General features: G+C 48.5%; 1 long non-coding RNA gene across 2 annotated transcripts, besides 4 other annotated features; it reads left to right on the top strand.

Annotated features, from left to right (window-relative positions):
* The first annotated feature begins 2,599 nt into the window (after nt 1–2,599).
* On the top strand, nt 2,600–21,196 carry LOC105378482 (uncharacterized). Of its 2 annotated transcripts, NR_188210.1 has the most exons (4): nt 2,600–2,941; nt 7,662–7,825; nt 14,829–14,912; nt 21,026–21,196. It is a non-coding gene; the product is annotated as an uncharacterized LOC105378482 (long non-coding RNA). The 2 variants fall into 2 exon arrangements; NR_188211.1 differs by lacking the exon at nt 21,026–21,196 and having other exon boundaries at nt 14,829–14,925.
* Nucleotides 7,760–7,999: an enhancer, noted in NCBI's record as "active region_4022". NCBI's record gives its function as "activates an Ori minimal core promoter by ATAC-STARR-seq in GM12878 lymphoblastoid cells {active_cell/tissue: GM12878}" and the evidence as "EXISTENCE:reporter gene assay evidence [ECO:0000049][PMID:35858748]".
* Nucleotides 18,447–19,052: an enhancer, noted in NCBI's record as "H3K27ac-H3K4me1 hESC enhancer chr10:112190742-112191347 (GRCh37/hg19 assembly coordinates)". NCBI's record gives its function as "activates a minimal SCP1, AML or CMV promoter by ChIP-STARR-seq in primed H9 embryonic stem cells {active_cell/tissue: H9 hESC(primed)}" and the evidence as "EXISTENCE:reporter gene assay evidence [ECO:0000049][PMID:30033119]".
* Nucleotides 20,528–20,627: an enhancer, noted in NCBI's record as "active region_4021". NCBI's record gives its function as "activates an Ori minimal core promoter by ATAC-STARR-seq in GM12878 lymphoblastoid cells {active_cell/tissue: GM12878}" and the evidence as "EXISTENCE:reporter gene assay evidence [ECO:0000049][PMID:35858748]".
* Nucleotides 20,638–20,887: an enhancer, noted in NCBI's record as "active region_4020". NCBI's record gives its function as "activates an Ori minimal core promoter by ATAC-STARR-seq in GM12878 lymphoblastoid cells {active_cell/tissue: GM12878}" and the evidence as "EXISTENCE:reporter gene assay evidence [ECO:0000049][PMID:35858748]".
* Nucleotides 21,197–21,859: the final 663 nt, after the last annotated feature.

The raw sequence follows: 21,859 nt of genomic DNA, 5'->3' as shown, positions 1-21,859 counted from the left end.
TCATGTTGCCCAGGCTGGTCTTGAACTCCTGAGCTCAAGGAATTGGCCCACGTAGGCCTCCCAGAGTGCTAGAATTACAGGTGTGAGCCACTACACCCGGCCCAATTTCCTTCTTAATTTCTTCATTGACCCACTGGTCATTCAGCAACAGATTGTTTAATTTCCATATATTGTATAGTTTCCAAAATTCCTTTTGTTATTAATTTCTAGTTTTATTCCATTGTGGTCAGAGTAGATGCTTGATATTATTTTAACTTTTTTGAATGCTTTAAGACTTATTTTGTGACCTAACATATGGTCTATCCTTGAGAATGATCCATGTGCTGAGGAAAAGAATGTATATTCTGCAGCTCTTGCATAAAATGTTCTGTAAATATCTCTTAGATCCATTTGGTCTATAGTGCAGATTAAGTCTGATTTTTCTTTGTTGATTTTCTGTCTGGAAGATCTGTCCAATGCTGAAAGTGGTGTTGAAGTCTCCAGCTATTATTGTATTGGGGTCTATCTCTGTTTTTAGCTCTAATAATATTTCCTTTATATGTTTAGGTGCTCCAGTGTTGGGTGCATATACATTTTAAATTGTTGTATCCTCTTGCTAAATTGACCCCTTTATCATTATATAGTGGTCTTCTTTGTCTCTTATAGTTTTTGTCTGATATAAGTATAGTGACTCCTGCTCTTTTTGGTTTCCATTGGCATGGAATATCTTTTTCCATCTCTTTATTTTCAGTCTGTCTGTGTCTTTATAGGTGAAGTGTGTTTCTTGCAGGCAGTAGATCAATGGGTCTTGTTTTTACATCCATTCCAGCAATCTGTGTCTTTTGATTGGAGAGTTTAGTCCATTTACATTCAGTGTTATTATTGAAAGTAGGGACTTACTCCTGCCATTTTGTTATTTGCTTTCTGGTTGTTTTCTGGTTTTCTCTTCTTTCTTTCCTTCCTGTCTTCTTCTACTGAAGATGATTTTCTCTGGTGATATGATTTAGTTTCTTACTTTTTATTTTTTGTGTATCCATTGCATGTTTCTTGGTTTGAGGTCACCATGAGGCTTGCAAATACTTTCTTGCATGATTTTTAACTTTGTTTCATCAGTTATATTTACATCTGTGAGAGCTACCACAAACTGAAGGTACTTTTTCATCAGAGTGGTTTGGTCAACCACCACGGCTCCTTGTGTTGCAACAAATGCCATTTTTCTTTTGAGCTGGTTTGTTTCTCGAGAAAAGTATCAGGTCCGTGAGTTCAGTCAGCCCCAACCTCAGTGGCCTGGCTCCCACAGCCCTATCCTGTGACTGCCTGCTGAGCCCTCACCTCTGTTGCTGCTCCACCTTGCACAGTCCCACCCCATACAAGAGTTCATTTCTTAAAAGGACATTGTCAGGATTAAATTAGTTTCTATATTTAAGTGTCTCAGAAAAGTGCCTGACACATAGAAATAGCTCAATACGGGTTAAATATTATCAATATTCTCCCACCCCTACTTAGGGTCTCTTCTGTACAAAGGATCTCATTGCAATATGAGTGAGGAGGTCAAACATCATTCGGTAATGTTCTGGTCTAGGACAAAATTTAGAACTGAGTAATTTTTGGCAAGTAGTTTAATATCTTTGAACCTCAACTATGTCTTCCATTAAAAACAGATTTCTAGTTACCTTTTAGGGTTCATGTGAGAGCTCAGTAAGAAAATGGTTGGTTAAGGCAGTTATGCCTACATTAAGCTATTTTGCCTACCACAATGGTAAAAATTATGTACACATTTTAAAGATTTGCATTAAGATTAAAACCAAAAAAGGGTTTCTGCAGCTCATCTCCACTTAAGTGGGAATTTCTGGGGACCAAGACCACTCTCATCCCTAGTCCCTATTTCCTGACCTCTCCAGATCTGCCCACATGGCCTCTTTGGCATCTTGACAAAAGCACTCATTGGGATGAGGTTCTTTGTTGCAGTTGCCTGTGGACACAGATGGTCTTTTCCAGCCAAAGAAAGACAGGAGAAGCGCAGGCCCATGTGTGGCTGCATTGGTTTGCAACAAACAAGATTCATTCATTTGGTCCTTCATGCATTCTTTTTCTTTTTTTTTCTTTTTTAAAATAAGACAGGGATCTCACTATGTTCCCCAGGCTGGTCTCCAACTCCTGGGCTCAAGTAATCCTCCTGCCTCAGTCTTTCAAAGTGCTGGGATTACAGGCGTGAGCTACTGACCCTGGCCATACTTTCTTTCATTCAATAAATATTTATCAGTGGCTTACTCTGTGCCAGGCATGTGTGAGGACCTACGGTTCAGAGGTGAACAAGGGAGATATGTCTCATGAAACTTACATTTTAATTGGGGTGGTGGGTGACAATGGTTGAGGAATCAAGTCATATCTTTGGAAACTGGTAAGTATTAAAAAGAAAAATAAAACAAGGCAATGCTGAGAGAGAGGCTCTAGAGATAGGGGAAGAGAAATGGCAACAAATTGGACGGAGTGGTCAGGGAAGGCCTCAAAGAGGAAGTGACTCAGGCAGCATCTGCTGTGAGACAGGAATCTGGCTCTGCAGCAACATGGGAACACAGCATTCTTGGCACAGATGCCCTGGGATGGGAATGAGGAGGCCAGAGTGCCAGGAGCTTTGTGGAAGAGGCAGGCAGAAGCCGAATCTTGGGACCATCCTTTCTCACCTTGCATGGCCCAACAAGTCTGTGTAGGGCCTTTTCCAGGAAGGCAGAGCCTACCCCTAGCTGACTCTGTGTCCCTTCCTGTGGTTGCCTCACTGGTCCAGTCTCACTAGTCCCTCTGGCTCCCTCTGGCTACTTCCGGCTTCCTCTGGCAACAGACTACTGGGGGAGATAAGTGAGAATTGCAACATGCTCTCTCATTACCCTCAAGGAACTAGAAAGATAGAATCTCTACGGACCCCACAAGACGACTGATACTACAGACTAGACAAGAGCACCAGGTGAGGGCTGAGGGGAAGTTTTGGGAGGTGTGCATGACCACTGAGAATGGAGGGTGGAGGTGTCAGAGAAGTGAGAAGAGCTCAGCCTGGACAGAGGGTAAGAACGAGCTGGAGATGGGGTGTGGATGGCAGTCCACATAGGAGGAAGGTAGAGCAAAGGAGTCCTCATGGGAAGGAAAGGACTAGGCAATCATACTCAGATCAGTTTGTCTCGCCCTTGGGCTGAGCCACTAGAAATGGAAGAGAAGCTTGGAAAAGGCGAAGGAGACACTCAGCCTTGGGAAAGTAGTCAGCGAAGTGGCATGGAGCATTCTGGACACAAATGCCCAAAGACAGGAATGAGGACTCTGGAGCTACACTACTTGGGTTCAAATTTGAATTCTGTTGCTTACTAATGCTGGGACCTTGACAAGTTACTTAACCCTTCTGTGACTCAGTTTCTCCATCTGTAAAACAGTGATCATAACAGTACCAAATTCATTTTATAAAGTTTAAATGAGTGAATAGTTGCAAAGCACTTAGAATAAATAGTACCTGGCCCAGAATGATGTAAGTGTTGGCTAAATTAAATGAATGCTGGTGAGCAAGTGAGACTCTCATTCTGAAGCCAATGGGAAGCTCTCAGATGTTTCTGGGCTGTGCCATGCATGGAGGAAAAGAGTGCTCTGCTCTAATTCATCTGGTGCAGGCTGGATTGGAGGTGGACGGCCTGGGATCAGGAAAACAAGTTAGGAGTCTACTGCAATAGCCCAGACATGAACACTGATTGGCTGGTAGCAGGGCTGCTGGGGAGAATAGAGGGGATGGAAGGCTGGAGGTTGCTGCCGAAGGAAGTGCTCCTAACATCTGGTGTCTGGAGACGGGACTGGGGGTAGTGGGGTACAGATGGAGGAAATGGAGGCCTTGAGCTTGAGTGATGGGGCGAATGTGGGGCTATGTCAGAGAGGGAAGCTGGAAAAGTCATCTGGTTTGGAGGAAGATGGTGCCAACACATGGACGTGTGTTGCCTTTGAGGCCATGGTGTGCCCACAGTGTTCTGGGTGTGATTTCATATCCTGGGTCTGAGGAAAGGAATCCTAGGGGGTTGGATTCTGGCTCCTAGAGAGATGTGAGAACGAGAGTTTCAGCCCTGGCCTCTGCTCACCTGTACACCTGCACGTGTTTGGAGGAGGGTAGGTAGGCTGGGGACAGGCAGTAAATATTTAATGAGGCTGAGTCCACACATCCTCTGCATACTGTATTAAAAGGGCAGTCAGGAAAGGAAGACCCTGCTTGTGTCCACCACTCCCAGACACTCGGTAGTGACAGTGGTCAGTGCTCTCCTTACCCTCACCCCATTGCAGGGGAGAGGATCTCACAACTCAGCCCAAGGCTGACCACACTCCTCCGACTCTCACCTGGATAAGGGTCCCAGCTGGGGTCCAGGGACAGTGGTTGGGACCAATAGTATTTGACTACTGGTTTCTGTTAACAAGTGTTGACTGGGTACCTGCTTCGGGATCCAGTGAGCACAAAATGTCCACTAACCAATGGATTTTTTGAGCATCTCCTCTGTTCAAGCTCTGTATAAGGCACGGGGCTCAAAGTAAAATTAAATGCTTGGTTCCAGAAACCGCATTAGCCTAGGTTTTTGTTTTCCATTTTTAATTATTAATGACAGTAGCTTCAATATAGATATCAGAGGAATGTATCCTTCTAGTCATGAAAATCTTGTTTTAGCCTGGCTTTTAAGTATAATCATTCCCTCCAATCTTTCCTATAAAGGGTTGTTAATTATATGAATTAATATATCTGTAAAATTTTATTGGGATTAGGTCCATAGCTTTCATTAGCTTCGTAAGGTTTTTTTAAAATCATATTTTTCTTTTTTAGTTCAGAAAAGAGTCAAGAAGAAAATTAAAATGGCCCATAATCCTACTGTCCAGATAACCCCTTGTTTTCACTTTTTAAATGCATATGGAAAATAATTCATGTTCTAGAAAGACACAAAATGAGAAGCAAAATTCTCTCACTGCTCCCTCCCCACTTCCGTTTCTCTTCCTAAAGGTTTGTGCTACTAATGGTTTCTTATATATCCCTCTAGAAAATGCTTAGTGCACTTATCAGCATTATAAATGCATTATGTACATCCTATTCTTAAAAGCTTCTCCCGGAGGTTAAGAACTATTGCTCTCTCTAGGCATGATTGTCTGTTTTTATGCTTTTTGCCCTGTTGATCTGCATTTTAAAAAATAACAGAGGAAAGTCCTTTCTCTTTCTTTCTTTCTTTTTTTCTTTCCTTCCTTCCTTCTTCCTTTATTTTCCTTTTTTTTCTTTTTTTAGAGATGAGGTCTCACTCTGTCACCCAGGCATGCTGGAGTGAAGCAGTGCAGTCATAGCTCACTGCAGCCTCAACCTCCCAGGCACAAGCAATCCTCCCATCTCAGCCTCCAGAGTAGCTGGGACCACAGGCATGCACCACCATGCCTAGTTAATTTAAAAAAATTTTTTGTAGAGACGGTCTCACTGTGTTGCCCAGGCTGATCTCAAACTCCTGTACTCAAGTGATCCACCCGCCTTGGCCTCCTAAAGTGCTGGGAATACAGGCGTGAACCACCATGCCTGGTCAAGGAACTCATTTTCTAATGCTCCTCTGCCTTGGACTAGTGGACAGATGTCAGGAAGTTACTTTACCTTGCTGAGCCTCAGTTTCCTCATTCTTGTGGGGACTCAATGGCAGTGTCAATGCAGAAAGGCCTGGGCACACAATAGGCCTTCCATAAATGGTCAGTGCTTTCCCTTAGGCCCTTTTGGAAGGAGGAGGGGCTGCCAGTTCTAAATAAATGTTACAGAAGGGCCTGTCATCAGTTGCCCCTCAGAGTGACCTGTCACTTTGTTCCCAGCTATAAGAAGAAGAGTGTGGGAGTCCCCTGACTGGAGGTGACAGGGTCACACAAATTCCTCACCCTTGGTGTTGGCACCCACCCCAGGAGCTCAGGCAATCCAGACCCCAGGAGACTGATGCCATCTGTCCCTGGCTGGGAAGGAATCTCTGCCAACAGCTGAGACAGGCCTCTGATATATAGCCCCTGTCACCTCCCCCTCTTCTTTCTCTGAGCTGAGGCTTTAAGACCTGTGTGACTCCAGCTTCAGAGGGAAAATGGCTTACAGGAAAGGTCTCCAGTATCATCTGGGACCAGGGGCGGCTTGGCTATTGTCAAGCTGTGACCAGCCCCAGGAAGCCAGAAAGAAGGGCAGGACTCCAGTCCGAGGAGGTGGGGGCCGTGGTGATGGCAGATGAGGCAGAAGGTGGACGAAGACCATTTGTTGTGTGCTGGGAAGCACTGGCCACAGTGCTGGGTCCTTGGCAGGTGTTACTTGCTGGGACCTCCCAGCTGCACTCCCACTTTGTAGATGAGGACTCTGAGACTCAGAGAGGCAAGCCACCTTGCCTTTTGGGGAGGCAATGGCAGAATCAGGACTGGCATCACCTGCGTAGTCCAGCACTTATGTTTTACTACGTTGGCCACAGGTAGACGTGAGGGAGGGCACCAGACAGGACACCTAGGGTCTGGGCCACAAAGTGGCTGCCCACTCACAGGCACAGACACACTTCTCCCGGGGTCCACTTCTGCCAGTCCTGCTCTGTCTGTATTCTCAGAGTCTAGGACAGTGCCTGGCGCATAGTAGGTGCTCAGGAAGTCTTTGTGGAACGAAGAAGGGAATGGACAACAAAAATGCCTGCTGGTCTAATTAGACTGGCCCACCCCATACTCTCAGGTGGACCCTCCCTAACTTGATGTGTTCTCAGGGCTCTGTGACAAGGGGTACGAGCTTGGTACCAAGCTCCTAGGCAGACTTTGGAAAGAATCGCTGACCCAACTCTATTCAGTAGCTTCTTGCCAGGCCTCCTAGAAGGGATGGAAGAGCAGCGCCCAGCTAAAAGTGGGGTGCCAGACCCAGGCTGGTCTCTTCTTGCCAGCTGACCTTAGGGACTGACTTTGTCCCCCCATCTGCTGTGCTTTCTTCCCTGTAACACACAGTGGGGCTGGGAAGGCACTAAAGCCTGAAGGCTGTTGGAGGACCGCCCAGGGCTCAGGGCTGAGAGAGGAAGGGAGGAGTGCAACAAAGGTCACAGCAGGTCTGCCTTTGTTCCCCAGTGTGGAGGTAGAGTCCCAGCTCCTGGAGAGAGTCACATGTCCATAAAGAAGCTTGGCCTGGCCGGGCACAGTGGCTCACGCCTGTAATCCCAGCATTTTGGGAGGCCAAGGTAGGTGGATCATTTGAGGTCAGGAGGTCGAGACCAGCCTGCCAACATGGTGAAACCCTGTCACTACTAAAAATACAAAAATTAGCTGGGCATGGTGGTGGGCGCCTATAGTCCCAACTGCTCGGGAGGCTGAGGCAGGAAAATCTCTTGAACCCAGCAGGTGGAGGTTGCAGTGATCTGAGATCATGCCACTGCACTCCAGCCTGGGCGACAGAGCGAGACTCCATCTCAAAAAAAAAAAAAAAAAGAAAAGAAAAGAAAAGAAAAAAGAAAAAAAGAAAAAAAAAAAAGGAAAAAATAGAAGCCTGGCCCGGGAGGAGCACATATTTGATAACAGTTAAGAGCAATAATTAGGGAGCATTCATCATGCATCAGACACAGGTGCATTCCGTGTAATAGTCTCATTTAACCCTCACAACACACTTAGGAAGTAAGTACTATAATCAGCATTTTTCTCATCTCATTTTACAGATGAGAAAATGGAGGTACCAAAAAGTGGGCTCTGAACTGCAGAGCCTGGCTCCAGAGCCCTTGTATTTGACTACTGGGATCCACCGTTATTCTCACAGCCGCGTTTCCCACAGGGCTGCTTTGTATGGCCTCTTAGAAAAGTCCTGCCTGTCTCCACCATCCAGGTGAGCCAAGGTCATCTGTGAACAGCTCAAGGACAAAGCTGAGAAAGCCAGCTCTGGGGAAGGGTCAGGAGGGCTGGGGGAGGAGGAGCCCCAGTGAAGATGATGTTGGCCAGATGGACACTGGGGGACAAGAGCAGAGTGTGTGAAGGCACAGTGGTGTGGTGCGTTTCGTGGTGCTCCCTTCACTTAGGCTAGAGAGTGATGTGTAAAGGGGAGGAGTTTTGAAAGATAAAACCGGAAGTGTCATGCATAGAGAATTAGGGCTTTATCACTTGTCTGGGTGGTGGAGGCTGAGACTAGTGTTTTAAACACAGTGGTGTGACAGCTAGCTGAGTGTCACAGTGGTGGCCAGGCCCTGGGAGAAGTGCTCCACCTCCATTCTGTCGCTGCACCCTCTGAATGTCCTGCGAGACGAGGACTGGTATTCTTTCTTTCTTTCTTTCTTTTTTTTTTTTAGACAGAGTCTCCCTCTGTTGCCCAGGCTGGAGTGCAGTGGCACGATCTCCGCTCACTGCAAGCTCCGCCTCCCAGGTTCACGCCATTCTCCTGCCTCAGCCTCCCGAGTAGCTGGGACTACAGGACTACAGGCATCTGCCACCAAGCCTGGCTAATCTTTTGTATTTTTAGCAGAGAAGGGGTTTCACCATGTTAGCCAGGCTGGTCTCGATCTCCTGACCTAGTGATCTGCCCGCCTCAGCCTCCCAAAGTGCTGGGATTACAGGCATGAGCCACCATGCCCAGCCAAGGACTGGTATTCTTTCTTTCAGGAGCTCCTTAAGGCCTTGGAGCATCTTAGGAGCCCTGAACTTCCAGGTAAAAAGTCCAGTTCCTTTGCTGGAGAGGCCACGTGGAGAGAGGGTGGCCCTGATGGCTAGGAAGAGAAGCCTAGCGATCCCTGTCTTCCAGCTGAGCCCAGGCCTCTGCCAGCCACTAGCCTGCTGAGTGCAGCCATACGAGTGACCCCCAGCAAGGCAAGCAAAAAAACTGCCACATAAGCGGAGAAGAGCTGACCCCTCCAAGCTGAGTCCACACTGCAGAGTCATGAACAAATAATTATTTTAAGCCACTAAGTTTTGGGTTTTTGTTTTAACTCAGCAATAGATTTATTTTTATTTTCATATTTTTAGAGATAGGGTCTCCCTCTGTTGCCTAGGCTGGAGTATAATGCATAATCATAGCTCACTGCAGCCTTGAACTCCTGGGCTCAAGCAATCCTCCCATCCCAGCCTCCTGAGTACAGGCATGTGCTGTCACACCCAGCTAACTGTTTTTACTTTTATTTTTTTACTTTTAGTAGAGACGGTGGTCTCCCTATGTTGCCCAGGCTGGATTCAAACTCCTGGCCTCAAGTGATCCTCCTGCCTTGGCCTCCCAAAGTGTTGGGATTACAGGTGTGAGCTGCCATGCTTGGCCAGCAATAGATATTTGAACCAGGAATTGGGAAGGAAACTGACCTTGGAGATCCTGAATGAATGAAAACATGAAACCCTGGTGAACTACTGACTGAGATGCTTTTTTTCCTCCTCAGGGAAGCTTTTCTAGGTGGATCGGGCCCAGCCTGGCTCACCCAGGCCACTTTGGCCACTTTTCTTTGTTCAGCCACCATTAATTACTCACATGTGTCTGTTTCCCAAGCCCTGGCAGCAGGTTCAACGGGAGAAGGGGCCTAGAGAGTCATGTTCTTTTTTTTTTTTCTTTTTGAGACAAAGTCTCACTGTGTCATCCAGGCTGGAGTGCAGTGGCGCGATCTCAGCTCACTGCAAGCTCCACCTTCCGGTTCACACCATTCTCCTGCCTCAGTCTCCCGAGTAGCTGGGACTACAGGCGCCCGCCAACACGCCCGGCTAATTTTTTGTATTTTTAGTAGAGACAGGGTTTCACCGTGTTAGCCAGGATGGTCTCGATCTCCTGACCTCGTGATCCGCCCATCTCAGTCTCCGAAAGTGCTGGGATTACAGGCGTGAGCCACCGCGCCCGGCCTGTTCAGCCACCGTTAATTACTAACAAGTGTCTGTTTCCCAAGCCCTGGCCGCAGGTTCACCGGGAAAGGGGCCTAGAGAGCCATGTTCTTTTGCTTTGCAGAGCTTCAGTGAGAGTTCTGCAGGTAGCGGAGGCCCAGTTCAGAGTGCTGTCTGATGCACACAAATCAGCTTCTAGTTCAGGCCTTCATCCCAAGTGAGGTGGTAGTGGAGGCAAACCCTTTGGAGCCAAAGTGCCTGGTCCAAAGCCCAGCTCTGCCGCTTGTTTGCTGTATGACCTTGGACAACTCAAGTCACCTCTCTGAGCCTCTATCTCCTTATCCATAAAGTGGGGAGAACAATGCCCCACCTTGTGAAGGTAAATGAAATCACATCTGTAAAGAGCCTAACAGTGCCTGGCATATGTGTCCCCATACATAGCCACATTCACCCCTTCTATCTACAAATCGAGTGAGCAACTTTAGGTTCCAATGTCCCCCTCCATAGTCCACCTCAAAAACCTTTTCTCCACAGGTCAAGCCTGAGCCTGAAATTCTGGCATCAGTCATTGTTTTTGGTTATGCTTCCACCCAACAGCAGGTCTGCTGGAGCGAGGCTGGTGATGTAGTAAGCTGCACTTCTTTTTTTTTTTTTGGACACAGGATCTCTCTCTGTCTCCCAGGCTGGAGTGCCGTGGCATGATCAGGGATCACTGTAGCCTTGACTTCCTGGGTTCAAGCAATCCTCCCATCTCAGCCTCCAGAGTAGCTGGGACTACAGACATGTACCACCACACCTGGCTAATTTTTTTACTTTACTCTTTTTGTAGAGATGGGGTCTCACCATGTTGCCCAGGCTTGTCTTAAATTCCTGGGATCAAGGGATCCTCCCGTCCCAGCCTCCCAAAGTTCTGGGATTACAGGCATGAGCCACCATGCTCAGCACAAGCCTCACTTCTAGAATCAGAAGATCTGGGCTCTAGTCTTAGCCCTTGCACCTGCTGGCTGGAAGACCTTGGGCAAGTAGCTTGTCCCATGTGCAGTGGTTCCTGCCTTGGCCTAGAGAGTTACTGGGAGGCTCCAGTGAGTACCCACAGACATGAAAGAACTTTGCCACTGGTATAGGATCAAGTGTGATCATCTCAATGATGACACCATTTTTGGTCCTCTCAGTAGGAATTGGTTCACTAGAGCTATGCTGTCCAAAATAAAATTAAAATTAAAACACAAGTCTAGGCTGGGTGCGGTGGCTCATGCCTATAATCCCAGAACTTTGAGAGGCCAAGGATCACCTGAGGTCAGGATCAGGAGTTCAAGACCAGCCTGGCCAACATGGTGAAACCCTGTCTCCCTAAAAATACAAAAATTAGCCGGGCATGATGGTGTATGCCTGTAGTCCCAGGTACATGCCTGTATTCGGGAAGCTGAGGTAGGAGAATCAGTTGAACCTGGGAGGCAGAGGTTGCAGTGAGGCGAGATCACGTCACTGCACTCCAGCCTGGGTGACAGAGCAAGACTCCATCTCAAAAACAACAACAACAAACAAAACAAAACAAAAAAACAAAAAACAAAAACCAAACAAAAACCAAAAAACACAAGTCTTCATTCTCATGAGCCACATTTCAAGTACTCAATAGCCACATGTGGCTGGTGTCCACCATATTGGACAGCACAAATAGAGAATATTTCCATCATTGCAGAAAGTTCCATTGGTCAGCATTGCCCTAGTGTTTTTCCAATAGGACAGCTGGCGACAGAAATGAGAGGGAGAGATGGGGGCAGAGGAAGCCTGAGCCCAGCTGGGTGGGTGGCATGGACGTTTTGTTTGTTTTTGTAGACCCTGTTGGGCTGACTGGATTCAGGGATGGCCACCGCCCTTGACCTCCTCCCTGTTAACAGTCATCCTGGGCAGGTTCATTGGAAACAGCATTTTCTCACCTTGAGGTCAGGGAGCCTGGGGCCACCTCCAACAGGAAGTGGCCAGAGTAGCTTGGGGCCAGCCTGGGCACTACATGCTAATTTATCGCTGGGCCTGGTTGTGCAGGGGTGGGCCGAAGGGTTGTTGGGTGCTCCTCCTCCTGTCCCCGGTGCAGCCCAGTTGGAAGGGCATGGCAGGGAGCAGGCGCAGCAGCACCAGGGCGACGGTACCTGAGCTCGGTGCTAAGGGACCAATTAGCCAGTCATGGGGTGCATCCCAGGACCCTGCTGCCAACCCTCGGAGGCTCCCTGAGTCCCAGATCTTCTCCCCATGCCAGGCTGAGGCACCAAGAACCCAGCCCGTTCAGGGGCACTAGCATCAGCCAGTATAGCTTGGGCAACAGGCTGTGTGGCAGGGGAGGCCCGGAGAGCAGAAGGGACAGATCAAAGGCCCCACTGCATGAGAGGCCCAGCTGGGAGCAGACCCCAGGGAATCCTCATTTCCTGACTCATTTGATTAAGTTCTTTCCTGCCCATCCAAACAGACACACAAACCGTATTCACATATGTATTCATATGTGAATCTACCCAGAGATGGAGAGCAGACACACAGGCATCCAGACACGCACAGCAGACGTGCCCTCATGGGTGCAGGCTCATGGCTGTACTTACACATGTGCAGGTGGCCCAGAATTCATCCCTGTTCCCCTAAACCAAAAATACCTTCCGTTAGCTGAAAGTTTAAACTGTGTATCTTGCTGAACAAAATCAACCCTCAGGTCCCCCTATCCCTTGTTGACTACAAACTGAACACCCTGAAGTACCGTGAGCCCCAACACCTTGCATGGGGGCTGGGGGAGGGGGCACCCAGCTGGATGCATCACCTTCCTCTGCATTCAGCCAGAGGCTTGGTCTCTCAGGACAATGAGAACGTGAGAACACAGCACCTACTCTCGGGGTCTCCCAGGCATTCCTGGGAGGGCACCTTCCTTTCCCCAATCAGGCCTCCTCTGTAATCTTCACAAGAGCTTCAGTTTTCCCATGGATCCCCCGTCCCTCCCACCCTCTGAAGCAGGCAGGCAGGCAGCATGACAAGTGACAAATGAAAACTCACTTTCTCAGCCAGGCATGGTGGCTCACACCTGTCATCCTAGCACTTTGAGAGGCCGAGGTGGGAGGATTGCTTGAACCCAGGAATTCAAAAGCAGCCTGGGCAACATATCAAGACCCCATCTCTTATAAAGAAAATAAAAAGTCATTTTCTCAGCTGGGTACAGTGACTCACAACTGCAATCCCAGAACTTTGGGAGGCCGGGGCGGGAGGATCACTTGAGCCCAGGAGTTTCTGACCAGCCTGGGCAATATAGTGAGACCCCATCTGTATAAAGTAAATAAGTAAATTTTTTAAAAGTCATTTTCTAATGAACAGGTGTGGACCAGGGCTGGGGCAAGCTGGGAGTGGGGAGGGTAAAGTTCCTAGAAGTCTTTGGGGCTCTGGGGTGTCATTGGTTCGCAGCTGAAACCCTGTTTTTGGCAGTTAGTCAGGGCTGTCAGAAGCCGCCGCTGACCGCCTCCCTCCCTGCCCCAGTGCCAGGTTCACTCTCCATGTTAGCCTTTGTGAACTTTAGCCACCTGCCCAGGGCCAGGCTTTCTCTTGGAATCAGACTTTCACAAAGGATTCTCAGAAAAAGACAGGCACCATCCTCTCAGCCCCAGCCTGGCAGACCCCCTACACTCCTTCCTATGGTTCCTCGGTCCACTCCCAATTTTTTTTGTGGGGGGACGGAGACTCACTCTGTTGCCCAACCTGGAATGCCATGGCACAATCTCAGCTCACCGCAACCTCCACCTCCCGAGTTCAAGCAACTCTCTTTCCTCAGCCTCCCTCCCAAGTAGCTGGGACTACAGGTGCATGCCATCACACCCGGCTAATTTTTGTGTTTTTAGTAGAGATAGGGTTTCCCCATGTTGGCCAAGCTGGTCTCGAACTCCTGACCTCAGGTAATCCACCCACCTCGGCCTCCCAAAGTGCTGGGATCATAGGCGTGAGCCACTGTGCCCGGCCCACTCCCAAGTTTTTAACCCATTCTGCCTCAAAGCTGGTCAGCTATCAGTAGTATCAACTCCCATCCCCAAACCCAGTGGGAATTTAAAACCATAGGAAATATTCTTGTGCCAACCCAGAGGGTGAAATATCTTCCTGTTTTGTGCCCTCTTAAGGCCAAGAAAAAATTATTAAATAATAACAAATCACTTAAAAATAACAATTTTACCAGCCTGGGCAACATGGCAAGATCCCATCTCTACAAAAAAATAAATAAATAAAATAAACTAGCTAGGCATGGTGTCACATGCCTGTAGTTCCAGCTACTTGGGAGGTTGAGGCAGGAGGATCATGTGAGCCCAGAAGTTCAAGGTTGCAGTGAGCTATGACTGCGCCACTGCACTACAGCCTGGGTAACAGAGTGAGACCCTGTTTCTAAAAAAAAGAATAAATAAAAAAATTAATAATAATTTTAAAATATGAACTAACATTATTTACATAATAAGAATTCATTTTAAAATAATGGCTTGGTTACTCTGGGCTCACTGCTTATAGGGTAGCCCTGCTCCACAAGGAGCAGTGAAAATGTATAATAATAATAATAATAACAATAATGGCTATCACTAGAATGTAAGCAACAATATAAACCCTACAAGGGTAGATATTTTTTCCATTTTGTTTGCCAATGGATCCCAATAACCTAGAGCAGTGCTTGGCATATTGCAGGTTCTCAGTAAGTATTTGTTGACTAAAGTAATTACTGTTAGATACTATCTAAGTGCCTTTCAAGGATCGGTTTAATTAATTGTTACAACATTGTGAGGTGAGTAATATTGCACCCATTTTGCAGACTGAGGCAGAAATAAACTAAGAAATCCAGCCAAAGTCACATACCTAGTAAAGGGAGACTGTGTCCAAGCAGCCTGGCCCTAGGGCCCAGGCTCTTGATCACCAAGTCTATTGCCTTCCCTAACAGCAGTATCCTTAATAGCAATTATATTTCCTTAATAGCAATTATATTTCATTGAACTGTTTTTGTTCTGTTTCTCATACAATAATTTATTGATATCTGTGTCTCCTACCAGACTATGATGTCCGTGAGGTCAGAGGAAAGGGAGAATGTCTCACATACAGAAAATGCTTGATCAACATTGATGGAATCATAAATGGTATTTCCTTGTATCTCTCCGTGTACTGTATATGTCATTCACCAAATGTCTTGAAAACGATTTGGGGTTGGGGGAAAGGACGGAGGGGACAGTGGCTAGAAGCACAGAGTCCAGAGTCTGAAGTACTGGGTTTTAATTCCTGTCTCTATCCCTTTCTAGCTATGTGAACTTGGGCAAGTTACTCAGCCTCTTGGCCTCAGTTTGATCATCTATTAAATGGGGATAATAACAGCTTCTGCCTGCTAGAATTGTTGTAAGGATTAAATGAGATAATGCTTGATCCATGCTTGGCATAGTAAGGGCTCTATAAATGGCAGCTATTGTCACTGGTAATATGATGTTGTGTAACTTCTGCTTGCCCTGTGTCTCATGTGAAGCTGAAGCCTCCCATTAGCCCTTCCGCAGGCCACAGCCGGCAGCTTGTGGGCAGGTGCCTGCAACAGGCATGACCCACTCCTCCCCATCTGTCAGGGTGAATCCTCCACCACTTCCGGTCAGAGCTTACAACCTACTTATTAGGTTAATTAGACACAACACCTTTCCAAAGATACCTTGGCACCAAAGCCAGCCCTAACATCTGGTGAGCAGCTTGACAAGGATTTGGGAAATGACAAGTTGTCATCAGCCTCTGGCTGAAGCAAGTGGGTTGAGTTGGGGGGCAGAGGAACCACCCCATTCCTCTTTGGGGATCACTGGATGACTCCTGGGGTCTTTTCTGGGTAGGAATGCCAGATAAAATATAGGACACCCTTGTTAAATTTGAATTTCAGATAAACACCAAATACTTTTTTAGAATAAGCATGTCCCAAATATTACAAGGAAAATACTTATATTAAAAACTATTTGGTGTTTATCTGAAATTCAAATTTAACTGGGCATCCTGTTTGTTTGTTTGTTTTTTCCCCCTGAATCTATCAGTCCTATCTGTCGGGCATGTTGGAGTGTGAGACGAGGAGGGAAAGCCCAAGTGTTTGAAGGAGCAGGCACAGGCCTTGGTAGGGCCAGCTCTCTCTGAGCCCTGGCACCGGGAGCTCCTCTCTGGGCCTCCTGGGTCTGAGGTGAGGGTGTCTGGGGACCTATTGGAGCCAACTTCCTGCAGGGAGGCTCTGCGGGCGGAACAGGGCACTGCTGCCAACTCAGAGTTGTTTGCACTTCATGGCCTCCTGGGGCACTGGCCCCCTTCCTGGTTAACATCCTGGATGGGAGAACCAAGAACAACAGCACCTTCCCTGGAGAGGTGCTGAAGTCGTTCCAGGAGCACCTTGCTGGGAATAGGCCTCGGAGGCCCGGCCTGTTGGGACCTGGAAGACCAATCGGTCCTGCTACAGGAGGGCCCCCGAGCAGGTGCAGGGCTTTTCCGATGCCACACAGTGTGCAGGTAAACCTAGAGCGTGGTCTCCAGACCTCCCGTTCCCATCCCCTACCTACGTGGCTGCCTTTCTGTGCCATCAGGAGAGGAGCAGCTGTGGCCAGTGCAACTGGTGACTGAGCCCCTCTAACACAACAGGTTTCAAACTCAACCTCTCATCTGCCCTGTATTAGGCCATTCTCGCATTGCTATAAAGAAATACCTGAGACTGGATAATTTACAAAGAAAAGAGGTTTAATTGGCTCATGGTTCTGTAGGCTGTACAGGAAGCATAACACTGGCATCTGCTTCTGGGGAGGCCTCAGGAAGCTTCCAATCATGGTGGAAGGCAAAGCAGGAGCTTGCACATCATGTGGCACAAGTAGGAGTCGGGGGGCGGGGAGGTGCTACACAATTTTAAGGGACCAGATCTCCTGAGAACACACTCACTACCATGAAGGCGGCACCAAGGGGATGGTGCTAAACCATTCATGAGAAATTCACCCCCATGATCCCATCACTCCCTCCAATACTGGGTATTACAATTCAACATGAGATTTGGGCAGGGACACAGATCCAAACTATATCACTCCCCCTTCAATACATGGTACCCACACACCTGGCTGTGCAAACTAGAAACCTCAGCTTCATCCTGGGTGTATCAGTCAGCTAGGGCTGCTGTAACAAACACCACAGACTGGTGGTCTAAACAACAGAAATGTATTTCTCACTGTTCTGGAGGCTGGAAGTCCAAGATCAATGTGTTGGTAGGGTTGCTTTCTCCTGAGGCCTCTCTTCTTGGCTTGCAAATGTCTGGCTGTGTCCTCACATCCTCACATGGCCTTTCCTCTGTGCATGTGCACCCCTGATGTCTCTCTGTGTGTCCAAATTTCCTCTTCAGCTGGGCATGGTGGCTCACACCTGTAATTCCACACTTTGGGAGGCCGAGGCAGGTGGATCACCTGAGGTCAGGAGTTGGAGACCAGCCTGGCTGACATGGTGAAACCCCGTCTCTACTAAAAATACAAAAATTAGCCGAGTATGGTGGTGGGCGGCTGTAATCCTAGCTGAGGCAGGAAACTCGCTTGGACTAGGAGGCAGAGGTTGCAGTGAGCTGAGATTGTACCACTGCACTCCAGCCTGGGCAACAAGAGGGAAACTACATCTCAAAAAAAAAAAATAATAATTCCTCTTCTTATAAAGACACTAGTCAGATTGGATTAAGGTCCACTGTAACAGCCTTGTTTTAATTTAATCACCTCTTCAAAGCTTCTATTATGGTGCAAAAGTAATTGAAAGTAATGGCAAGATCCGCAATTACTTTTGCACCAAACTAATATATCCAAATACCATCACATTTGGGGCACTGGGGGTTAGGGCTTCAAAAAGTGAATTCTGGGGGTGTACAGTTCAGCCCATAATACTGGGCACTCCTGCCTGTCCCTTCTCCTGTGAGTCACTAAGCCCTGTTAAAGCCACTTCCTCTGTAGCGCCTCAATTTGTCTGCACCCTTTCATTGCCACCTGAGCCAGGTGGCCCTCGTCTCCCAGGCCAGACAGCTCTCCTCCTGGCTGGTCTCCTGCCTCCACTTTCCCTTCTCCAATCCATTTTGCACCTAGCCGCAGAGGAAACACAGCTCCACTCTTGTCCATCTCTACTCTCCCATCTTCTAAATCCATCACTGGCTTCTTATTTTTAGGATCAAAATTGCCTTACTGGCATACAGACCTCTGTGCGATCTAGCCCTGTCCCCTTTCCCAGGTCTAATCCCTCCTGTGGGAATCCCTCCATCCACACTGCAGCCGATCTGAGATCTGAACGTGAATCGAGCTCCTTCTTGCTTGGGGCTCTTCTTGCTAGCACAGGCTGTTCCGTCTGCCTTCCTCACTCCTCCCACCTCACCTTCCCCAGGCTTACCTCTACCCGTTCTACCTGTCCTCAGACCTCCACCTAGGCTCCACTTCCTCCAGAAAGCCTCCCCTCATCCCTACCAACCCTCAGGCTCTGAAGTGGGGGCTCCTCTTGGACACCCCCAGAACACTCTATTCTGATGCTTTGTTTGCTAGCCTGCCTTCTCTGCTAGTCTTCTCTGCGAGTGGCTTCTGTGAAGGCAGGGGCACATTCACTGCTCTATCTGCAGTAACCAGTGTGGCCCTGGCACACAGAAGGGCTCACCAGTTATGAGCTGTGATTTTTTACTGTTAAATTTCTGAGCAACGTCAGACTACAAAGCATTGGGGGGCAAAAGGAGAGTAAAAGAAAGGCCAGCTGGCCGGGCAGTTTTTCAGTTCTAGCCATACAACAGAATCGCTCGTGCTGCTTTCCAGATGTATCAATTCTCAGGCATCATCCCAGAGATTCTGATTCCATTGGTTGGAGGTGGGCCCAAGAGTGGTACTTTCTGAATATTTTCCAATATTCTATGTGCAGCTGGGATTGAGAAGCCCTGAGTGAGCACTAAGACTCAGCTCACTGGGTCTCAGCTCAGTAGATCCTTGCTGACGGAGGTCCTCCTCTACTGCTGGTGGGAGGACGGGGTCTCCAGATGTTTACTCCTGCCCCAGCTCTCCTTCCTCAGGGTGCGGCTCCCTGGGCTGAGCCGCAGTGGTTTCCTCCCCATGGAACCAGTCAAACCTCTCCCTGCTGGCTCCTTGGGGAGGCAGCCAGGCCCAGAAGGAGGAGCAGGGGCTAGGGTCTAGCCCAGCAGGCTAGGTCACAGGTCCCCTGCCAGAGCCAGCCCCAGGGGAATTCAGTTGGTTCCACAAATATTTGCCGAGCACCCAGACTGGGTCAGGTGCTTTGCCAGTTGCGAATCTAGTAACCAAGTCTGGCTACTGACCAGCCCTGTTACCCTAGCCTTGGACTAGGGCTCAAAGAGGAGCTAGATGAAGAGTACTGGTGGCTGGCTGTGGGCACTGTTATCCCCCAAAGCCACTTCCACGATCACCTAAGCAAAGGGGAAGGTGTGATCATCATGTCCCACCCCAGCTACCCTCTGTCTTTCCTATGGCCCAGTGTGGCCAGAACTGTTGCAGCAGAATCCCCTAGGAAGCTTGTTAAAAATGCAGGTTCCTGGGCTCCACCCTGGAAATCTGATTTAGAAGGTCCAGGGTAAGGCCCAGTAATCTAAATTTTCAGCCAGTTCCTCAAGGGATTCTGATGCAACAGCTCGCCGATGATTCTAGTGTGTAGCTGCCTTTAAGAATCACAATAGTCTAGGCTGGGCGTGGTGGTTTACGCCTGTAATCCTAGTACTTTGGGAAGCCGAAGTGGGTGGATCACTTGAAGTCACAAGTTCAAAAGCAGCCTGGGCACTATGGTAAAACCCTGTCTCTACTAAAAAAATAAAAATTAGCCGAGTGTAGTGATAAGCACCTGTAATCCCAGCTACTCAGGAGGCTGAGGAAGGAGAACTGCTTCAACCCAGAAGGCAGAGGTTGCAGTGAGCCAAGATCACGCCACTGCACTCCAGCCTGGGTGACAAAGCAAGACTCTGTCTCAAAAACAAATAAACAAACAAAATCACAGCAGTCTAATTTCCTCAGGTGGGTTTAATGCCTTTTTGGGGAAGGAAGGAAGTGAACAGAAACAAGTTTCTGGGCTCAGAAGACTCAGCCACAGCTGGCTCTGACTGGCTTCACAATCATCGTCCCCCATCATTCACCAAGCACTGACCTTGGTGATTTGTTCAATCCTTATCCTACCCTGGTAAAGCTGCTGTCATCCCCATTTTATAGCCCAGAAAAGGTCAAGTTACTTGCCAAGGTCATAGAACACAATGACTAAGTTGGGGTTCTGGGTCTGAAGTTGCTTACAGACCCTGGGGGAGGCAAATGGTGCAAAACACCGCTAGCTCCAGGTGGAATGAAATCGATGCACCAGGGCAGGTAAAAGCCAAGCACTCAGCGAGTGCAGAGAAAGAAGAGATTCATGCTTACTGGGGACTGGCGGGGGAGGCTCCAAAGCAGGCGGTAACATTTGAGCTGGACCCTGGTGGAGGAATTCAACTTTGACATTCAGAGAAGGAAGGGAGGGAAGGGAGAGAATACCAGGCAGAGAATGCAGCATGAGGGGAGCCACTGAGATGGGGAGAACATATAGTAGGAAGAGTGAGTGGGCTGATGTGGTCACAGCATGGGGTGTAGAAAGGGACACGGGAGTGATGACGCAGGAGAGGGCAGCTGGGGACTCTTTACTGGGTGCTCACTGGAAAATAGCCAGAAGTCTGAATGGGGCATTGGCTTTAAGAAGGTAACCCTGGTGACAGGTGACAGGGCTGGGTGGATTAGAGAGATGGTAGCTGGGTTAGGAGATGACTAGATCCAGCCAGGCAAGAACAGTGAGTCACTCTACTTCTCTGGATCAGTTTGTTCCTCTCTAAAATGTAGATAATTATCCCTCCCTGACATCTGTCCCAGGCTGTGGTGAAGATGAAAGAAAAAGGGAGATGGGAAACAGTGTTGGTGAGCCCCAGGGGACAGAGGGAGGGCTTTGCAGGTAAGGGTCAGAATTGGGAAGCTGGAGGCTGTGTGACAATGATGTGCCCTGGCTGGTGACCCCAGTGGCATGGCTACAAGACACAGCAGCATCCAAACAAGATACAGGCCAAGCATAGGAGGGGTTTCAGTTCCCAGGAGGCATCTGCATCTGAACTCAAATTGAGAGAGAATGAGAAACCCCTCCAAACCTACCTGAAGCGGGACTACAAACTTAGCTGCTTCCCCATTTGAAGGGGTTCTAATGGGTGGAATTCTGTTTCCTAAAGGGCCTCAGCGGCACCTGTCCTGAGTCAGCATCTCACAGAGGTTTTGCCAGCGCCAGCCACATCTCCAGCATGAAGGTGATTGTCTGAGTGTGTCCAGTCCAGTTCCTGCCTTAATAAAAATCACTGCTGCAAGGGAGAGGGCTGCCAAGGCCCTGCCTCCCTCCAACCCCATCCTAGCCTGAGTCTTAACCATTCTTCCAATCCAGTTCCACTTTGGGCCAGTGCTTAACCCAGGGTAGCACTTTTGAGCCTCGCAACTCTTGGGAGTGAGTTTTCATCCTAACGTTCTCAGATGAGGAAATTGGGCCTCAAAGAGTCCACACAGGTGAGGCACCATGGCTCATGCCTATAATCCTAACACTTTGGGAGGCCAAGGCAGGAGGAATGCTTGAGCCCAGGAGTTCAAGACCAGCCTGGGCAACATGGTGACACCCTGTCTCTATAAAAAAATACAACAATTAGGCAAACGTGGTGGCATGCACCTGTCATCCCAGCTACCTGGGAGGCTGAGGTGGGAGGATTGCTTGAGCCCAGGAGGCTGAGGCTGCAGTGAGCCATGATCCTGCCAGTACACTCCAGCCTGGGTGACAGAACAAGACCCTGTCTCAAAAACAAAACAAAACAAAAACAAAAACAAAGCATCCACACAACTAGCAGGTGAAAAACTGGGGTTCAAACTCAGGCCTATAACACTAAGGGCTGGGCCTGTCCCCACCAAATCAGTCTTTCCTCAGACAGGCTGAGGTGTCCTCTATAGACCAAATATCTGGAGGTCAGAACACTGAGACACTAGTTATGTAAAGGCAGGGTGTGAGTTGGTGAGCTCATCGAGAA

The sequence above is a fragment of the Homo sapiens genome, chromosome 10 (genome assembly GCF_000001405.40).
Source record: "Homo sapiens chromosome 10, GRCh38.p14 Primary Assembly".
NCBI classification, from domain to species: domain Eukaryota; kingdom Metazoa; phylum Chordata; class Mammalia; order Primates; family Hominidae; genus Homo; species Homo sapiens.
The sequence above is the reverse complement of the archived record's forward strand: the minus strand, read 5'-3'. Positions and strand labels throughout refer to the sequence as shown.